At 37.8% G+C, this 21,227-nt stretch overlaps 1 protein-coding gene across 6 annotated transcripts in view; it reads right to left on the bottom strand.

The window, feature by feature from the left end:
• The window catches only part of DCP2 (decapping mRNA 2), a 45,398-nt gene that overhangs the window by 9,314 nt on the left and 14,857 nt on the right, over positions 1-21,227 (bottom strand). For 2 of the 6 annotated variants that reach the window (NM_152624.6, XM_047416865.1), the window contains exons 3-10: positions 20,634-20,761; positions 20,112-20,210; positions 11,646-11,798; positions 11,413-11,525; positions 11,208-11,315; positions 8,805-8,940; positions 4,840-4,944; positions 2,075-2,126 (exon numbers count right to left, since the gene is read on the bottom strand). In NM_152624.6, coding sequence (NP_689837.2) covers positions 2,075-2,126; positions 4,840-4,944; positions 8,805-8,940; positions 11,208-11,315; positions 11,413-11,525; positions 11,646-11,798; positions 20,112-20,210; positions 20,634-20,761 — 894 coding nt within the window. Of the gene's footprint in view, positions 1-2,074; positions 2,127-4,839; positions 4,945-8,804; positions 8,941-11,207; positions 11,316-11,412; positions 11,526-11,645; positions 11,799-20,111; positions 20,211-20,633; positions 20,762-21,227 lie in introns of those variants that run through there. The other 4 variants (NR_038352.2, NM_001242377.2, XM_047416866.1 and 1 more) reach the window with 4 other exon arrangements.

Genomic DNA, 21,227 nt, shown 5'->3' with positions numbered 1-21,227 from the left:
TCACAAGGTCAGGAGTTCGAGACCAGCCTGGCCAAGATGGTGAAACCCCATCTCTACTAAAAATACAAAAATTAGCCAGGCATGGTGGCACACGCCTGTAATCCCAGCTACTCAGAAGGCTGAGGCAGGAGAATGACTTGTACCCAGGAGGCGGAGGCTGCAGTAAGCTGAGATCGTGCTGTTGCACTCCAGTCTGGGTGACACAGCAAGACTCTGTCTCAAAAAAACAAAAGAAAAAAATAAGAAAAAAAAGAAAAATCCAAATTTTCCAAATCATAGTACAACAAAACTCCAATTTATCTGGGATTTTTTCCCCCCTCCTTTTAAACAGATCAGGGACTTGACCAGAAAGTAGGTTTGGAATAGACATCAAGAGGCTGGGGTAGAAAGAAAGTCTGAAATGAGGATGAGGCTTCCCAGGACATGAATCCTTTCACACTTCTCAAGACAACTCAAAATTTTATATATTCATATAATGCCCAACTAAGATCGATATACCAAGTTATAGTATGCTGCCCCTTTTTTCGAGATGGTCTCATTCTGTTGCCCAAACTGGAGTACAGTGATAATCACAGCTCACTTCAGCCTCAACCTCCTGGGCGCAAGTGACCTTTTTGCCTCAGCCTCTTAAGTAGCTGGGACTACAGGTATGTGCCACCACAGCTGGCTCATTTTTAATTTTTGTAGAGACAAGAGTCTTGCTATGTTGCCCAGGCTGGCATGGTGTACCTTTTTTAATGTCCCTGAATATACGGCTTTTAAAAGATTCTGTGAAATAACTAATTTCTGAATATATGTTAACTAGATTTCACTATCCACCTAACATGTCCCCACCACCCAAGGTGGCCAGAAAAAAATCCTATTAAGAAGACTTATACCCCCATAACTTTTCTATACTAACTCTAATGAGGAGAAATAATAGACCCTTCAATAAATGGTGCTGGGAAAACTGGATATCCACATGCAAAAGAACTGGATCCTTATCATATACCAGACATAAAAATGAACTTGAAATGGATGAAAGACTTAAATGTAAGACCCGAAACTGTAGCATTCCTAGAAGAAAACAGGGAAAAAAGCTCTCTGATGCCCATCTTCACAATGACTTTTTTTTGGATATGACCGCAAAAGCACAGGTAACAAAAACAAAAATAAACAAGTGGGACTGTATCAAACTAAATTCTAATGATAGTTCCTTTCTTCACAGTTAACAGTAACTTTCCATAATAGGGTTAAGGCATCTCTTTCAAAATAGCATTATCTTGCTTAAATCACAGACAGTATTACAGAAAAAGAATATGATAATGCTTTTTCATTTCTTAGGCTTTTCTATATGAAAGCCTTAAATTTAGATGGTGAATAAATGAGTATCTACTGCACAGGAAATTTCATACAATTCAAAATAGCACCTAAGAAAAAAGTCTACTGCACTTCCAAGTATCATCTACTAAATCAGTATTTAACAAAGAGCTTTCTACATTCACCAGGATTACTTTCCGAATCAGACAACACACCTAGTTTTCATAACCGAGGAAGGAGAAATTGCAAGTATCTTTAATAAAACTCATACTTAGTATCACCTTAAAAAGTTGAACACTGCCTCCAAAAGAGGGAAAAATGTTCCTTTTAATTGGAAAAAAGGCATACAAATTTACTAACGTGTGTATGGGAAGAACCACAGTGATTACCTCCCCAAAATGTTCCCCTTCTAAAGTCAGTGCACCCCTTATATAGATCTGAGAGTGAGGTTTCCTAGCCTTTACAATACTGGATTCTTTCTACTCTCCCCAAATCCTTATGCAATTATTTACGTATTTAAAATATTCACGCATAGCACTAAGGCTTAACATTCATAAAAGAAACGGCACAGTCTGAAGGCAAGTAATTTTATCTAAATGAATTTGTTTCAGCCAGTTTCTTAGAGAACTCTACATACATGAACTCTTTCTACAGAACATATGCAACTCTTCCTGCTTAACTATCACAGATCACATACTCCCACTAAAATCAAAGTTAGGTAAACCAAACCAAATCCCACAAGGCAGAGATTATAAAAAGATAGGAAATGACTTGCCTGTTTCAAAATTATCCTGAAGTTTCCGTGGATGAAGTTTCTTTTCACACTTCTATTTAAAAAAAAAAAAAACACACACACACACACATACAACACAGTCACCAGTTATTTCACTTATTAAAAATCAAAAGATGTATTATCAAATTTCTCAGGAAGAAAAACTGAACCAGGAATATAATCATCATCCCATTCTCTCACCAGTATTTTTGTATTTTGTATTTACTTTTCACACCTAAAATTTTTTTTAGTTCTTGATTACATACATACACATTATAAAGACATCAAAAAAATAGACAAGTATTGGCTAGGTGTGGTGGCTCATGCCTGTAATCCTAGCACTTTGAGAGGCTGAAGCAAACGGATCACTTGAGGCCAAGAGTCTGAGACCAGCAAAATCACCTCCCAACATACTTTATTTATAAAACATAAAAATCAGCCAGGGCTAACTAATTTAGCTGAGGTGGCCAGAGACAGTGGCTCACAGCTGTAATCCCAGCACTTTGGGAAGCCAGAGCATGAGGATCACTTGAGCCCAGCAGTTCAAGACCAGTCTGGGTAACATGGTGAGACCTATTTCTACCAAAAAAAAAAAAAAAAAAATACAAGAATTAGTAGGGTGTGGTGCCACGCACCTATAGTCCCAGCTACTCTGGAGGCTGAGATGGGAGGACTGCTTGAACCAAGGAGGTGGAGGTTGCAGTGAGCCAAGATCGCACCACCACATTTCAGCCTGGGTGACAGAGCAAAACCCTGTCTCAAAAAAAAAAAAAAAAGAGCTGAGGCAAGAAAATGGCTTGAGCCCAGAAGTTCAAGGCTACAGTAAACAATGTACGTGCCATTGTACTCTAGACGACAGAGCGAGACCCTGTCTCAAAAAAAAAAAAAAGGAAAAAAAAGATTATTCATTACATTTCTCAACCCAGAGCTAATTAGTATTATATTTTTCTAGCTGATTTCCTATGAAGATGTGTGTTAACATCTTTTCATAAAATTGCAAACTTTAAATGGAATTATATCATATGTACTAGTGTCTGATAGTCTTTAAAAATAGAATATAATGTGAAGAAATTCCTTTTTCAATAAATGTACATTGTCATTTTTAGCAACTTGATGGTAACCCACTGCACAGATCTACGATACTGTATTTAATATCTTCTTCAATATTTGTTTTCCACGTTTTCATCATAAAGGGGGTGAACATTCTTTAGATTCCTCTTCTAGGGAAAAAGTGAACACTTTTGTAGGGTTTTGATATAGCAAAGTCCTCTCTAGAAGGTTGTACCAATTAGTAATTTTTATGTGTTACCAATACACTCAATACACAACTGGGTTACTTCTTTTCATCTTTGCCAATCTGATCGGAGAAATGTAACTCATTTCAATTTACATTCTTTGACCACATATACAGTTTAACACTGTGATATGTTTATCAGTCCCTTTTATTTCTTCTCTTAAAAACTGCTCATATACTTGCTCTCTGTCATTAACTTTCGTCTTAAACAACTTTTAAAAATCTATTCAAAGTTCTTCTAGACAAATGTGAGAGTATTTTGTGAAGTTCTCCCAAAAAATCTACAAAGAATTTTATTGGTATCATATTAAATGTACACATTAATTTGAGGACAATTAACACTTGCACAATATTATCAATAAGTTATCTGTCGGCCGGGAGCGGTGGCTCACGCCTGTAATCCCAGCACTTTGGGAGGCAGAGGCAGGTGGATCACGAGGTCTGGAGATCGAGACCATCCTGGCCAACATGGTGAAACCCTGTCTGTACTAAAATACAAAAAAAAATTAGCCAGGGGTGGTGGCGCACACCTCTAGTCCCAGCTACTCAGGAGGCTGAGACAGGGGAATCACTTGAACCCGGGAAGTGGAGGTTGCAGTGAGCCGAGATCGTGCCACTGCAATCCAGCTTGGTGACAGAGAGAGACTCAATCTCAAAAAAAAAAAAAGTTATCTGTCTAGTTTTTGTTAAAAACAGCTGTTGAATTTTATTAAAAGCCTTTTAATCATCTACTAAGATTGTCTTCTCTGTTCTTGTCACCACTTTTATCAGACAGAAGAGAAATAATAAAGGTAAAGTAGTCAAATGAGTCATTAGAACCCAAATTAAGTAAATACCCAGGGAATTCAGGTAAAATATTTTTGCTAAAAATTTGAAATTACTATTATTACTCACCAATAAATGAAAAACAGGTGAAGCTACAATAAGAAAACCTAATATACAAATATCAGAACTTACAGAAAAGATAACGCAGGAGACTGTGAGTTATGAATTAACTTTTGGAGGACTGACTAAACAAAAGAATGAAAGAAAACTGCTTTGTTATTTGTCATCAAGCAAAATCTAATGACAATAGCACTGGCTGTGTTTTTTTTATTTTCTAAACTCTATCAACTTGAAGAAAAAAATAGTCAAATCCCCCCAAACTTTTACCCTCACTGAAATAATATTTAGAAAAACATGGAGCAATAGCCAAATAATTGCTCTAGAGAACAGGTTTGAGTACACATTGATATTAAAATAAACAGCCACATAAAAAATTAGATGTACAATTGCATCAACATTATACATTTGTAATTAAGAGCAGCCAGAGATTTTTAGTGTGAATAGTGCACAAGTCAGCTACACAAAAATCCTACTAGTATATCAATTAAAATAAGAACAAAACAAGTAACATTCCTGTGCTTTGGCAATGCCCTTGTTTCACTCTTCAGAGGATGAACTGCCTACTTAGTGTGACAGCTATAACTCTTACCATCAAAGAATTCTGCTGCTTTGCTGGCTGAAGCCCATTTGTTCTTTTCTTTTGATTAGGTGAATCTTGATACTGTTTTCTGCCATTTCCCCTCATACTTTGATTCTGTTTTCCCAAAAAGAAATATAATATGAATCTATAGCATAATGTAATAGCACAAAAAAAATACCCCATGAATATGTTTAGCTGGTTGAACCAAGTTTTTAGCAAAGCTTCTCCTACCCAAATTTTCATTAATCACCCTATCAATGTATTTTCTTATAGAAGTCAGTGCTTCCCAAAGCAAGAGTTCTCTAAAGGTATGAAATAGCAAATACACTTGCCCCTAGAAATCTTTCCACACCTCGGCCGGGCGCAGTGGCTCATGCCTGTAATCCCAGCATTTTGGGAGGCTGAGGCGGGCGGATCACGAGGTTGAGATGAGACCATCCTGGCTAACACAGCAAAACCCCGTCTCTACTAAAAATACAAAAACTTATCCGGGCATGGTGGCACACGCCTATAGTCCCAGCTACTCAGGAGGCAGAGGCAGAAGAGTCACCCGAACCCAGGAGGTGGAGGTTGCAGTCAGCCAAGATGGCACGACTGCACTACAGCCTGGGCAACAGAGGGAGACTATCTCTTTTTCAAAAAAAAAAAAAAGAAAGAAAGAAAGAAAGAAAGAAATCTTTCCACACCTCTTGCCTTATCCCATGTCTGCTTATAGATCTCGTTTCTAATGCATAAATGGAACCTCTCTGTAAAGGAATGCCGAGGGACATTAGCTACAGTTCTTAAAGCAGAAAATGGGTAGATGTAGTAATCAATTGTTACCCTAGAAATCTGCTTTAAATTATTAATAAGCAGTATTAATTTTTACAAAGTTTTTACTATATTTTTACAAAATAACAAAGATTACTATTATTTTTTTTTTAAATGGAGTCTCACTTTGTTGCCCAGGCCGGAGCACAGTGCTTGGCTCTCTGCAACCTCCACCTCCCAAGTTCAAGCGATTCTCCTGCCTCAGCCTCCCAAGCAGCTAGGATTACAAGCATATGCCACCATGCCCGGCTAATTTTTGTATTTTTAATAGGGACGGTGAAGGTTTTCACCCTGTTGGCCAAGCTGGTTTCAAACTCCTGACCTCAAGTGATCCACCCACCTTGGCCTCCCGAAGAGCTAGAATTACAGGTGTGAGCCAACGTTCCCGGCTAAGATTTATGTTTTAAAATGTGGGCCATTATTCCTAAACTTAGACATGCAATAGTTTGAATCTTGCTATTAAATTGCTTTAAGATAATTTTCCTACCAAAAAATTCTTAAGTTTAAATTAAAACGAACATTTTAAACATTAATTTGTTGTTTGAGATATTGAAAAGATAGCTATTTGAGGACTGGCTAAAATAGAATAAATAGGAGGAACTTCTAAAATATATATATATAAAATAAGAATGTTAATTTACATTCCAACCTATAGGGAAAAATAACCAGTTGCTAAAATAGCTGGAAAACAATAACCTAAGTAAGTGATGTGAAGGAAGTATGGCTTTGAATGACTCATGTTACTACGCAGTTTTAATTTAGTTTCATTCCACTCTTCCCAGCAGTTTTTTAATTGTGGTACAAAATACATACAATTTACCACATCAACCACTTGTGAATGTATAATTCAGTGGCATTTAGTATAGTCAGCACTACCCACTTCCCCAACTTTTATCATCCCAAACAAAAACTCTGCAACCAATAAACAGTAACTCCCTATTCTCCCCTCCCTCTAGCCTTGGTAATCTCTACTTTGTGTCTCTATGAATTTGCCTATTTAGGAATGGAATAACATTAATACGATATTTATCCTCTTGTGTCTGGCTTATTGCACTTAGCATAATGTCCTCGAGGTTTACCCATATTGTAGCATGCTTCGAAATTTTTTTTTTTTTTTTTTTTTTGGAGATAGGGTCCCACTCCTGTTGCCCAGGCTGGAGTGCAATGGCGCCACCACAGCCTTGACTTCCCAGGCTCAGGTGATTTTCCCACCTCAGCCTCCTGAGCAGCTGGAACTACAGGTGTGCACCACCATGCCTGGCTCATTTTTTATATTTTTAGTAGTAGAGACATGCTGCCCAGGTGGGTCTCGAACTACTGGGCTCAAATAATCCGCCTGCCTCAGCCTACCAAAGAGATGGGATTACAGGTATGAGCCCCCATGCCTGGGCAGAATTTCATTTCTTAATTTCATTCCTTTAAAGCTGAATGATATTCCATTATGTGTATACACCACATTGTTTATCCATTCATCTGTTGACAGGCATATGAGTTGTTTCCACCTTTTGGCTATTGTGAATAATGCTGCTATGAACATTGGTACACAAGTTATCTGTTTAAGTTCCTGCTTTCAATTCTTTTGGATATTACCTAGGAATGGAATTGCTGAGTCACATGGTAACTCTGTTTAACTGTTTGAGAAATTGCCAAACTCTTTTCCACAGCGGTTGCACCATTTTACACTCCCATCAGCAATGCACAAGGTCTCCAGTTTCTCCACATCCTCACCAATACTTGTTTTCTGTTTTTTTGTTTTTTATTATAGCCATCCTAATGGGTAAGAAGTGATATCTCACTGTGGAGATACCACTAATTATTAACAATGTTCCCTAATGATTAATAATGTTGAGCCATTTGCATATCTTCTTTGGAGAACTGTCTATTCAAGTCATTTGTCCAGTTTTAAATTAGATTGTTGTGTTGTTGTTGAGTTCTAAGAATTCTTTACATATTCTGGATATTAACCCCTTATATATATAATTTGCAAATATCTTCTATTTTGTGGGCTACTTTTTCACTATTTTGAAAATGTCTTCTGAAGCACAAAAGTTTAATTTTGACAAGCCCAGTTTACACACACACACACACACCCACACGCACACTTTTTTTTTTGAGACAGAGTTTTGTTCTTATTGCCCAGGCTGGAGTGCAATGGCGCGATCTTGGCTCACTGCAGCCTCTGCTTCCCGAGTTCAAGCAATTCTCCTGCCTCGGGCTCTATCTAGAGTAGCTGGGATTACAGGAGCCCGCCACCACGCCCAGCTAATTTTTTGTATTTTTAGTAAAGACGGGGTTTCACCATGTCGGGGCTGATCTCGAACTTATGACCTTAGGTGATTCACCCGCCTCGCCTCCCAAAGTGCTGGGATTACAGCCATGAGCCACCACGCCTGGCCAAGCCCAGTATATTTTTAAAATAAAAAAAAAAAAAAAGTAACATTGAAACCTGAAATTAAAAAAATAACATCAAGTATTAGTAAAGATGTGCAACGATTAGAACTCTCATGTATTTTGCTGAGGATATAAATAACTTGAGTAAATTAGCAAATAGATACTCAATAACACAGGCATATCCAGTGATCCAATAATTCTACTTTTCTTTCCTTTTAGTTACACAGAACTGTGTATATTCATCAAAAGACAGGTATAGGAATGTTCACAGCAGCACTGTTTGTTAAAGCCCCAAACTGGAAACAACCAAAATGTGCATTAACAGTGTTATGAATAAATAAACTGTGGTGCTTAGAACATGTGGAAAAAAGGAAAACAAGTATTAATAGCAGTGTAATTATACACTCGAATACAACAATGAAAATCGAAGTTTACAATACGCTGTTACTTTTTCTTCCTGAACAAAAGCCAATAGATCCCACTTGTGTTAATTTGGAAAATATTTTCCTTATGACTTATTTTTAAATGAACCTTTCATTGGCAGCATATACACAAAAGTCAGATGCTAATTCTTATTATTAACTGGATTTACACCGGAACTGTAAACATTAAGAAGCCTCAGCCCTGCTTCAAATCATAAGTAAGGAACATACAGGCTTTGATCAGTAACTCAGAGCTCTCTGTAACTATTAAGATGTAATTCTCCAATTGAGAAAAATTTCAAAGCCAAATGATCTAAATTTCTGAAAAGACTGTAATTGTGTATCACTCACCTTTCCTTTTAAAAGGTCAGACATTTCAGAATGATTATTATATGGCTTTTGCTGCAGTGGTTGCCTGTGCTTTACCCACTGGTCACCAGGAGAACCGTCAGGAAATAACTGCTGACTGTGGCGGAATTTGGTTCGACTACACCAAGATTTAAAAAATAATCAAATCAGAAAATGTTCACTTATAGTTCTTTTAACACCTTAATAGTTAAATTTATAGACTACATATTTTCTTATTTACTGTCTATCTTCCCCACTGGAATGTAAGTTCTATGAGAGCAGAGATTTTAATCTGCACTGCTTTATCCTCATCACCCAGATGAGTGCCTGGTATTCAATAAATATTTCTTGAATGAATTAATACACTACTATTTTTTTTCATCCTAGACTTAAAAAAATTATCCAGGCCATCTCCTCCCTATAAGTGATTATAGTGTACTCTTAAAAAATATGCAGACTATAAATCTAAATTTAGATGAAACGAATGTACATTTTCCTGCTTTTTGAGACTGGGTTTCCCTCTGTCATCCAGGCTGGAGTGCAGTGGCAGGATCACAGCTCACCGTGGCCTCAACCTCTCAGGCTCGAGCCATCCTCTCACCTCAGCCTCCCAAGTTGCTGAGACTACAGACACACGCCACCATGCCCTGCTAATTTTTTGACCCTGCACAAGTCAGTTACAGACCACATCCTAGCTGAAAGATGATCTGAGAAAGTAAGCTACCCTCTAAAGTATAAAATTAAAGGGCACAAGATAATGAATGAGCAAATTAAGTAAAGATCCAGTCTCGAATTCTTCTGCAAAAGAATCTATTAAAATGTTGTACTAATGCAGGCTGAGCGCAGTAGCTCACACCTATACTCCCAGCACTTTGGGAGGCCAAGGAGGGTAGATCACTCAAGGTCAGGAATTAGTCAGCTTTTGACTAATATTACAATAACAGATTCTGAAAGACATCAGGGCATTTAGTCCAAGCTCCTGTCCTCAGAATATCCATCTAAAATGGAATGCTACTGATTTAAGAAATGCTTACTATAGAGGTGGTTTACTCCTATTTAATTTCTGAAGCTCTGTCATAAAAGCAAATCCAAATTACAGAAAATGTAAAAATCAACTCTCTCTAACATAGGCAACTTTGTAAACAAGGTGATTATGCTTAAAATATATATTATGTTTAAAAATACAACCTTATTTAACAAAGTTACTTTCCCAGCCTACTCTGTAACTGACTTGGATGCAATTAAGTTGTAAGCCAGAGGCCAGGCATGGTGGCTCACGCCCGTAATCTCAAAACTTTGGGAAGCTGAGGCAGGAGGATCACTGGAGCCCAAGAGTTCAACAGCAGCCTGGGCAGCATAGGGAGAGCCCCATCTCTACAAAAAATAAGAAAAAATTAGCCAGGCTTAGTGGCATCTGCCTGTGTTCCCAGTGACTCAGGAAACTAAGTGGGATGATTACTTGAGTCCAGGAGGTCAAGGCTGCGGTGAGCTGTGATCATGCCACGTACTCCAGCCTGGGCAACAGAGAGAGACCCTGCCTCAAAAACAAAAAACAAACAAAAAGTTCCAAGCAAGAAAATGTTCTTCACGGTTTATGTCCAGGTAGTAGTCACTCTTGATAATACACAATCTCTGACACAATTTTTTTTTTTTTTTTTGAGACCGAGTCTCACTCTGTCACCCAGGCTGGAGTACAGTGGCATGATCTTGGCCCACTGAAACCTCCGCCTCCCAGGTTTAAGCCATTCTCCTGCCTCAGCCTCCCGAGAAGCTGGGATTACAGGTGCCTGCCACCACGCCCAGCTAATTTTTGTACTTCTAGTAGAGATGGGGTTTCACCATGCTGACCAGGCTGGTCTTGAACTCATGATCTCAGGTGATCCACCTGCCTTGGCCTCCCAAAGTGCTGGAATTACAGGCGTGAGCCACTGTCCCTTGCTGGGAAATTTTTTTAAAAGCCCAAGTCTTCACTGTTCTATCTCCAATTTAACAAACTACATTAGCATCCTTCCTCTCCCCTACAAGAAAACAAACCTCAACATATCCTCCATCCAAACGTCTTTAGAAACTCAATTATCTTAAAAGTAGGATATGACAACAGAGAAGTAACACTAAGAACACACGACACAAGATTTTTTTTCCTTTCCTAGTGTTCTATCTAAAAAGTTGGTATCCTCTTGAGTATACTATTTTAAAAGGTGCCTGAAGCTCCTTTCCAACTCCAATTAACCTTTTTCATCTCATCAGAAACCCTTTAAAAAAATCTTCTATTATCTGTGAGACCAGTAACAAAGAGTATCTATAAAAAGAAATCTTACATCCTCTGCAAATTTTAGAAGCAAAATACTATTATTCCACTTTTAAAAACTATTAGAAAATCAGGATTCCATGAATGTATTTCTTTACCTCAATTTTTCCACAGTGGGTTTAGCCGGCGTGCTACCAGTTGAGGAAAATCCATTGTCACTGTCTGAGGAATCGCCAAATCTTCGAGAAAGCCAGTCCCTTAATGGTCTGCAGAAACATTAAGAATTCACTTTCAAAATATGGCTACAGACAGAAGATGACTATCCCAATCATGAAAGTTACATTTCAAGAAATATGAACACACCTGATAAAGGGAATGGCCATAAAAAATTTGTTAGGTGCCAAACCAAGTTTGGATTTGGGGGTCATATCATTTCTATGACAAGGCAATTTCTCAATAGAGAACCACTCAATGTTCTGAAACACAGAAGAAAATAATTCATTTAGTTAATTTTTATCAAGGAGCTTATAAAAGGATTTCCCTACTTATTCATTTGGGATACTGTCCAGTAACCTGAAAATACTCTTGTTACATACCCGAATTTCTCTTCTAGTTTTTGGGTTAAATTTTGTGTCTTTTGGAATTCCTGGAATGATGTACAAACGAGCAAGCTGGTCATTGATTCGAAGTTCAATGTAATCATCCTTACAAATATAGTCTTTGATATCAAAACCAGTTTCTTCAAAGACCTGGAAACAACAAATTTGGATGAAATTTTCATTTTAGTTCTTAGGCCTCTAGTTCATTAAAATTTATTCCCAAGACAAAAACTCAGAAAAAGGGGACATGACTTGTATTTACTATTTCTAGAAATGACAGGCTGGTACAGAAATGCATATGAGATGTAAAAAAAGTTCTTGTGCCCTATTGTTTCTAATACTGTATCCACAGGTGGTATGGTATATAGAGAACCAGTCCACTGTAGACCTGATTGCTGACATTCAAACACACACAAACTATATATCTTTCCCAGAATAAAATTCTGAAGGCTAGTGATAGAGGTTTCAAGATTTCCCACTCTCCAAATCTTAACATTTATATACAGAAGGTAAGGTAATTAAATCATCAATGATGTGGAACTGACTCATGCAAGCTGTCTGAGCATTCCAATCAGAGTAAAAGTCCAGATGCTTTGGTTTTCCTTTCCTTCGAAACTAAGGTCTAATCTACTGCTTGAGATAGAGCTTAATAATGTTTTTGATTAATAAATTAATCTCGATGGCTTGGATTTATAATTTTAACAATTAAGGCTGGTTTACTTAAAAGTTTACCTATCAATATGTGCAACTGTCTTCAAAGACACCATTAAGATCAAGAATATATTAAAAACTCAGGTAGGGTGTGTGGGTGTGTGTGTGTGTGTGTGTGTGTGTATTAGACAAGTAATTGCACTTCAAAAAAATAGGACTGGGCACAGTGGCTCACACCTGCAATCTCAGTACTTTGGGAGGCCACAGAGGGAGGATCACTTGAGCCCAGGTGTTCGAGACCAGTAATTGCACTTCAAAAAAACAGGACTGGGCACAGTGGCTCACACCTGCAATCTCAGTACTTTGGGAGGCCAAAGAGGGAGGATCACTTGAGCCCAGGTGTTCGAGACCATTCTAGGCAACAGTGGGACTCCATCTATACAAAAAAATGTAGATAAAAATTAGCCTGGCATGGTGGTATACCCCTGTTTTTCTTCTTCTTTTTTTTTTTTTTTTTTTTTGAGATGGAGTTTCGCTCTTGTTGCCCGGGCTGGAGTGCAATGGTGGGCTCCTGGCTCAGTGCAACCTCTGCCTCCCAGTTTCAAGCAATTCTCCTGCCTCAGCCTCCTGAGCAGCTGGGATTACAGCTGCCTGTCACCATGCCCAGCTAATTTTTGTATTTTTAGTAGAGACAGGGTTTCACCATGTTGGCCAGGCTGGTCTCAAACTCCTGACCTCAGGTGATCCACCCGCCTTGGCCTCCCAAAGTGCTAGGATTATAGGTATGAGCCACCATGCCCGGCCGCACGCCTGTTTTTCTAGTTACTCAGTAGGCTGGGGTGAGAGGATCACTTGATCAAAGGAGTTCCAGGCTACAGTGAACCGTGATCACCATCCCAGTGCACTCCAGTCTAGATGACAGAGCAAGACCCTGTCTTTAAAAAAAAAAAAAAAAAGGCTGGGTGCGATGGCTCACGCCTGTAATCCCAGCACTAAGGGGAGGCCAAGGCAGGCTAATCACCAGGTCAGGAGTTAGAGACCAGCCTGACCAACATGGAGAAACTCCGTCTCTACTAAAAATACAAAATTAGCCAGGCGGGGTGGCGCATGCCTGTAATCCCAGCTACTCGGAAGGCTGAGACAGGAGAATCACTTGAACCCCAGGAAATGGAGGTTGCAGTGAGCCGAGATCATGCTATTACACTCCAGCCTGGGCAACAAGAGCGAAACTCCATCTCAAAAAAAAAACAACAGAAAAAGGTTTAAAAAGTAATTTTTATATGTTTCTTAATTCTAGTTTTATAGTTATTTTCTTTAGCTCTGCTCTTTGAATAATGCCTCAAAAATCAGAAATAAGTATACATAGCTAGTCATATGAATCTGCATAATTGGAAATTATGCTAAAAGTAAATTGTATAATCTGAATTCCTCGTGGGCAGAGCCTGTTATCTTTGTGTTACCAACAGTATCTAACTAGATGCTTAATAAAAGAAAGTACTGAAGAAAAAGTAAGGAAGAGTTTCAGATTAAAGGAGACTGAAGAGACGTGTCAATTAAATGCAAATGCAGCAAGTAAGCATGGATTGGATCCTGGGTAGGCAAATGGGTGGGAACTGCTGAATCATAATGGGCAATTAGTGAATGTGAATATGAACTGTCCATTAGATAACAAACAGCACCATATCAATGTTACATTCCTGAATTTGAGAATTTCACTGTGATTGCCCTAAAAGAACTCCTCGTTCTTAAAACATACATGCAGAAGCAATTAAGGACAAAGGGGCATTACGTTTGCAATTTACTCTTAAATAATTCAGCAATAATAAAAAACTCTGCACACACATTTATCGAAAGTAATATAGCAACTATGGTGTAACATTAAAGTCTATTCTTTGAATTAATCTATTCTTCTCTACATACGACACTATCTCATCCTCAATGTAATTTTTATGGGGTCACGTAGCTATGTTTAGTTCTTAGTGCTTTCACTCAACTATGTACTTTGTGCTTAGTAAATGACAGGCACTGTTCTAGGCAGTGAATTTAGTAATGAATAACGCAAGCAGCACCCTTTAAGGAGTTCAGTCTACAACAGAAAAAATTTTAATATGATATAAGTATTATGAGGTAGGAGGAGAGTGCCCAACTCAGCCTTTAGTAGACGTCTTTGAGAGTTGGGGGATGGTCTTCTTTGGTTATGGACAGCAGCCTATTCTGCTGGATAAACTGGAGCTAGGACTTAAAAGATAAATAGGAGTTTGCCAAACCAACAAGAAGAAAAAAGGCCTTCTGTTTAGATAGCCAGGAATGGCTACAGCTTAAGAATTACAAGGGAGGAAGTAGTACAATATGAGGCAAAACAGCAAGGGCCACCAGCACTAAAAGAGGTAGATTCAAACTGTCCAATCAATTCTAAAAGTGATAAAACAGATTTGCCTGTAAAATTAGGCAAGTATTCTCATCAAATATTTGCCAGGAAAAAGTTATAATAGTTGAAATATATAAACAGACACCAAAGACAAAAATTTTTATACCACACCTCCTGTGAATCAAATCTATTGCTGTATTATAATATAGCGTTTAATTCTCCTAGCAGAAGGAGTATCAACTTCTCAAATGTTAGCAGATAAAAATCCACAAATAAAATTTTTTTTAAAGTGTTACCCAAAGGGCCAGGCTCGGTGGCTCACACCTGTAATCCCAGCACTTTGGGAGGCCAAGGCTGGTGGATCACGAGGTCAGGAGTTCAAGACCAGCCTGGCCAACATAGTGAAACCCCATCTCTACTAAAAATACAAAAATTAGCCAAACATGGTGGCGTGCGCCTGTAATCCCAGGTACTCGGGATGCTGAGACAGGAGAATCACTTGAACCCGGGAGGCGGAGGTTGGGGTGCAGTGAACTGAGATCGCACCACTGCACTCCAGCCTGGGTGACAGAACAAGACTCCGTCTCAAAAAAAAAAAAAAGAAAAAGAAAAAGAAAAAGTGTAACCCAAAGAGCAGCAGTGTACAAAGACAATGAAATCCTGTCTATAATCTTCATCCTATAAGCCTACAGGAAGAGGCAGAATAAACTGACCAATAGTTGCTTTGTATTAATTCTATTAAATTATATAAGTGCACATGAAAGTCAGTTTCATTACACTAAAACACTGCTTTGCCAAATAATAAGGAACGATATATTAAATCTTGAAACCACAAGTGAACAGCTAAGTATTATTCGCTTATTCTCAAGAAAGTTGATGTTTCACCACAAATCACAACAAAAATACAATTGAGATTATTATGCCTTCGACAATATCTAGAAAACATCTTTGTCCTGTTAAATAGAACTTATAGGAGGCCACGGTATGGACTGCATTCCCACACTAGGCCCCAACAGACCTAAACAAAATGGAATTACTCATGCTAACATTCCATGTCACCAAACCAAAACTAAGTTGTTCTCCTAACCTTCAAGATATGTGGAGAAAAAGAGCTAATAGCCAAATCCCAAAACAGACCAGTTTCAGTTAGCATGATAAGGAAGTCCCCTCTGCTTTAACCTTTAGAAGAAAACTAACTTTGAAACGCCAATGTACATTTGGTTTTTGGTTCTGCTTTCCTCAGCTCTTTTCTGTCTTTAAAGCCTACCTCCTTTGCTCAGCCATTGGAATGCTCATTTTATTTTATGGAATAAAATGTTGCATAATTCTAAAATTGCAAATAAACCCATTGCAATCTTTAAATTTGTTGTGATTTTGTCTTTTGACAGTCCTAAATCTATTTCACTGAATAAACTATCCAGAAATAGTCAAATTAACAAAGGTGAGCCAAAAGGTCAAATAGAAGATTGGAAATTACTAATTAAGATTGCCCCCAAAAAAAAGGTCTGCTAAAAAGAGGTCTGTTCTTAGCTCTCTATTGATAATTACTTACACCTTCTCCCTAAGTAGCTTGTCTGCCACTGCTGCTTTAGGCTTAGCCCACAGACCCTTCCCTGTTTGAGGATGTGTCAAATTCTGCTACAGTGTAACAAAACACCTCTGGAATGCCAATTATACTAAAATAACAACATTAATATAACTGTATGAATGCCATAATAAGCTAAATAAAAATGCTATTAGCAACTTAAAATTGTAAGCACCCATGGTAGAACTTAAATGTATGTAACTTAAATGCAAGAAAAAAAAAGTGCTCAAAACATCAGCCTAAGTCTAATCAGTAGCTAGAAAATTAGAACAAAATCTCTCCTCATCTGTTAATACAAGTGGAAATGAAAAGGAAAAACGAGGCATTAATAAACTATGAAGAATGGAATAACCATCTGGTTTACAACTGGTAATGTCACTCGGTCAAGCCGTGCAGCTTCTTTTATACCGCAGCACCACCAAGTGGCAGAAGGACAAACTGCAATTCTAGCTGAATACTTTCATCATTCAAAAAAGGCCACTGCTATGGACTAAATTATGTCCCCTCACCAAAAAAATTCATATGTTGAAGCTCAACCCCCCATGTAACTGTATTTGGAGATAGGGCTGTGAGGAAGTAATAAAGGTCAAATGAGATCCATAAGGGCAGGGCCCTAATCTGACAGGGCTGGTGCCATTTTTACAAGAGGAAGAGACACCAGATCTCTCTCTGCATGTACACAAGAAGGGTATAAGTGTGCTCAGCAAGGTGTTAATCTATAAGTCACCTTGCTCTTGGACTTCCCAGCGTCTAGAACCGTTGCAAAATAAATTTGTTTAAGCCACTCCATCTGTGATATTTTGTTATGGTAGCCCTCACAGACTAAAACAGCAACACTTCACCCTAATCCCAAACTTTACGACAAAGTCGGTCATTTAAAAATCAAAAGTCAAACTTGCCTTTAAAAATCCTAATCCAAAAATTTACTGAAATTAAAGTTCCTTAGTCAGCTATAAAAGGACATCATAGAGATCAAAAAGAATGTTTAGAGGTTAGAATTTTTATTATGAAAACGAAAAAATTCTCCCTGAAATTAAGAGACTACGGCTCTTCAGGATGCCTGTGCTTCCCTCAAACCAAGACAAAAACCTAAAATGGAACTGTTTTGTTATTCCAACCAATGTAATATCCTCTTCCTGACCTGGACAACCACCTTACTGCCGTTAGACCAGTCTAATCCCATGTACAGAGCTACAATCAATTCCTCTAAGCAGGATACTGCTGATTTCTATTTTCTCCTTCCTTATAAGCAAGAGAACTACAAAGTTTGAGGAAATAAAAGGGAGGACTTTTACAATTGGTCCGTCTCATTTCCTACCATCTACAGAAAGAAAAGCTAAGCTCTTAGGTGATATGGCAATTCCTCACATTCTCACCAAACTGCTTCCAATTTTAAGAGTTGTGTATTAACCTTCATTTACTCATACACAACAGCTTTGTCTATAGGCTGTTGTAAATAATAGCTTGGGCAAGCTGTTCCATATCAAATTTAAAATACAGCATTTTCAATCATTTTTTGATTCTATTACAAAGTGAATAACCACTAATGGTTTTTCTATAATAAACCACCACCAGCAGTTTGTAAAAATTTTAACTATTATCCCTCATTAATAGTTACACCCAAACTTAAAGTAGGCAGTAAACATTGTTGCAGGAAATCGAGTCAAACATACACAAGGCAATGAATTCTAATGAAATGTGCCACAAAATCCATACTACCATTTCAAACAGTCTTAAATTCATCAAATCACTACCACCTTAGAATTTTTTCCTTAAAGATATTACTTCTAATGGACTTGAGTGAATCTTCTTAAAGGTCTTTATGTCTTACAGAGGTTAAGTGACTAAAGTCTCTAGGGTACTGGGTAACAAAATGTATGCTAGAACAAAAATCTTTCAACTCCTAGGCCAATCTGCTTTCCCTTATATCATACTTCCTATTAGTTCAACTTCTCAAATCTCAAGAATAATTGTGTGATACATGATAAATTGTGTGATAAATGGTAAGAAATAAGAATACGGCAAACAATCCATCACAAGGTATTATATAATAGTGAACAGTAAAGACAATAACTGCTATTGAAGTTCAGAGACTAACACTACTGTTTGCTAGAGCTGACTGGTAAGATTTTAAAATAGAATTTTAAGTAAGAATGAAGGCTGGGCACAGTGGCTCACGCCTGTAATCCCAGCACTTTGGGAAGCTGAGGCAGGAAGATCACTTAAGCCTAGAAGTTCAAGACCAGCCCGGGCAACACAGTGAGACCCCACCATTAAAAATAAAAAAAAAATTAGCTGGGCATGGTGGCATGCAACTGTGGTCCCAACTACTTGGGAGGCTGAGGCAGGAGGATTGCTTGAGCCCAGGCGGTCGAGGCTGCAGTGCACTATCATCATGTCACTGTACTCCAGCCTCAGTAACAGAGCAAGACCCTGTCTTTAAAAAAAAAAAAAAAAAAAAAAAAAGAAAGAAAAAAAGGAATGAACTTCAAAGAACATCCATTCTAAACTTCATTTTAAGAAACTAAGGCCCAGTCAAGCACGGTGGCTCGTGTCTCTAATCCCAGCACTTTGGGAGGCCGAGGAGGAGAGATCACTTGACCTCAGAAGTTCAAACCCAGCCTGGGCAACATAGACTTTGCCTCTATAAGTAAATAAATAAATAAATAAATAAAAATTAAAACTATGATGTTGCCACTGGACAACAAAGCGAGATCCTACACCAAAAATAATTGTATGTGTATGTGTTCATATTTATAAACACACACACATAGATACACATACACACACACACGAGAGAGAGACAGAAAAGAAACTTAAGCCCTATACACAGAGTTAGTTGGTGGCGGTGGCAGTGGCAGTCCTTCAGGGAAAAGGGATTTAAGCTGGGTTTAGAAACATATCTAGATAGGAGCTGAACAGAAGGAACAAGAGAGGACATTCCAGGTAGGAAAATAACAGTAAAAAAAATTTTGGTTTTTTTTTTTTGGTTTTTTTTTTTTTTTGAGATAGTGTTTCACTCTTGTTGCCCAGGCTAGAGTGCAATGGTGATCTCGGCTCACCGCAACCTCTGCCTCCCGAGTTCAAGAGATTCTCCTGCCTCAGCCTCTCAAGTAGCTGGGATTACAGGAATGTACCACCACGCCCAGCTAATTTTTTGTATTTTTAGCAGAGACGGGGTTTCTCCATGTTGGTCAGGCTGGTCTCGAACTCCTGACCTCAGGTGATCCGCCTGACTCGGCCTCCCATATTCAGGCGTGAGCCACCGTGCCTGGCCATAACAGCAAAAATTTAAAGGCCGAAACAAATCAATCAAGTTCAAGAGAGAGAAAATAAATTGTTTTGACTGAAAATATGATAAATTCAGAAATGGTTAAGATTTGTGTGGGGGAGAGGGGACAGAGTTTAAATACTTAAAGAATTAAACTTTATCCTATAGGCAGTGGAAAGCCTTACTGGGTTTTCAGCAACAAATGTCAACTTCTTAGAAAATCCCAAATTGTGCACTTGTCAGGAAGCCAAGGCTATAAACATAAAACAAGGATTATAACAGCCAAAATGTTTTACCAATAGGAAATCTAATTCTAAAGGGAAAGGTGGGAAAAATATCATCAAAGAAAGGAACAAGAGATAATACAAAATGGACCATTAAAAAAAATGGGAACAGATAAGAATAAATGAAAAGAGATGTGGATAAAACAATCAACAGTGATTTAAAAAAAAAAAAAGTAAGTTACTTCATGCACTCAAGTTCTGGAAAGGGTTAAGACAGTCCAAAGAAGTAAGTCTATATGGCTAAAAAAAATACATTCAGACCCTAATAGCCAAATTTACTGTGTATCAAAATGGAATAACTTACCTCTCTAGCAGCACAATCATGAGGAGCTTCTTCTTTATTTACTTTTCCTTTTGGAAATCCCCAGCCTGATTTTGCTAGGTACCCCTGAACTAGTAGTACCTACAAAACAAGCAGAAGTAAAAATCAAACTTGCCCTCCTTTTCCATGCTCCTTTCTAAAAATCAAAGGCATTTTTCTCCTTACTTGAGGTAACTGTTATCGCCAATAATTTTACAGAGTATTTTCTTAAAGTATCTTCAGTGAGTCTGAATACATCACCACCAGTGTGAAAGCATTCTGCCCATTTAAAAAAAAAAAGTCTTCAACAATTAAGCGACACTTTTTTGTACCACACCGTAACTGCAACAAGTAAAAAATCTGCAGACATAGCATGCGGATAAAATATACAAAGCTTGGCCTTTTAGCACTAAAAATCTAAGTATATTTTAAAACCTCAATTTAGAAACACTACATCAATAACAAATTTTGTTAACAGATTAACGATCACCATTTCACTAAAAATCTTTATTTCATTACACTCACATTTTCAAGTGTCTCATCAAGAATAATTGCACCATATGTTGGTACTCCCATTTTATATTCCTTCCATTCATCCAAAACTTTTTCCACATCTTCACCTTGAGGCAGCAAAAACGGACAATGACTGAAGAGTATAAATAGTGTCAAGGAAGTTACTTTCTCCTTTAATATGGCTTGAGAAATTATATACAGAAAGAGACCCATTTAAATCAATAGTGTATTTCATGTGAAATTATTCAAATCTTCCCTCATTTAAGTGTAGCATTTTGGCCAGGCACCATGGCTCACACCTGTAACCCCAGCACTTTGGGAGGCCGAGGCAGACTGTGTTTTTGTTTTTTCTACATTTGTTTTCTCTTAAAAAGTCATTGTTAACTTTTTCATTTGTAGCCTACACACAAATCAAGTTTTTAGTACTCACAGTCCTGGATCCCTAACACAAACTAATTCTGGACCATGTAAACACCTAGAACATTTCTCGTTAAGTGAGTCAAATTCATAATGCCAGGTAGTTATATATATTAGCGTAATAACAAGAAATAGAATTACATATATAAAGTGATAGCAAGAAACAGAAGAAAATATATTGCTAAGAGA

Source organism: Homo sapiens, chromosome 5 (genome assembly GCF_000001405.40).
Source record: "Homo sapiens chromosome 5, GRCh38.p14 Primary Assembly".
Lineage (NCBI taxonomy): Eukaryota > Metazoa > Chordata > Mammalia > Primates > Hominidae > Homo > Homo sapiens.
Note: the sequence above shows the minus strand (reverse complement) of the source record. Positions and strands in the feature narration are given on the sequence as shown.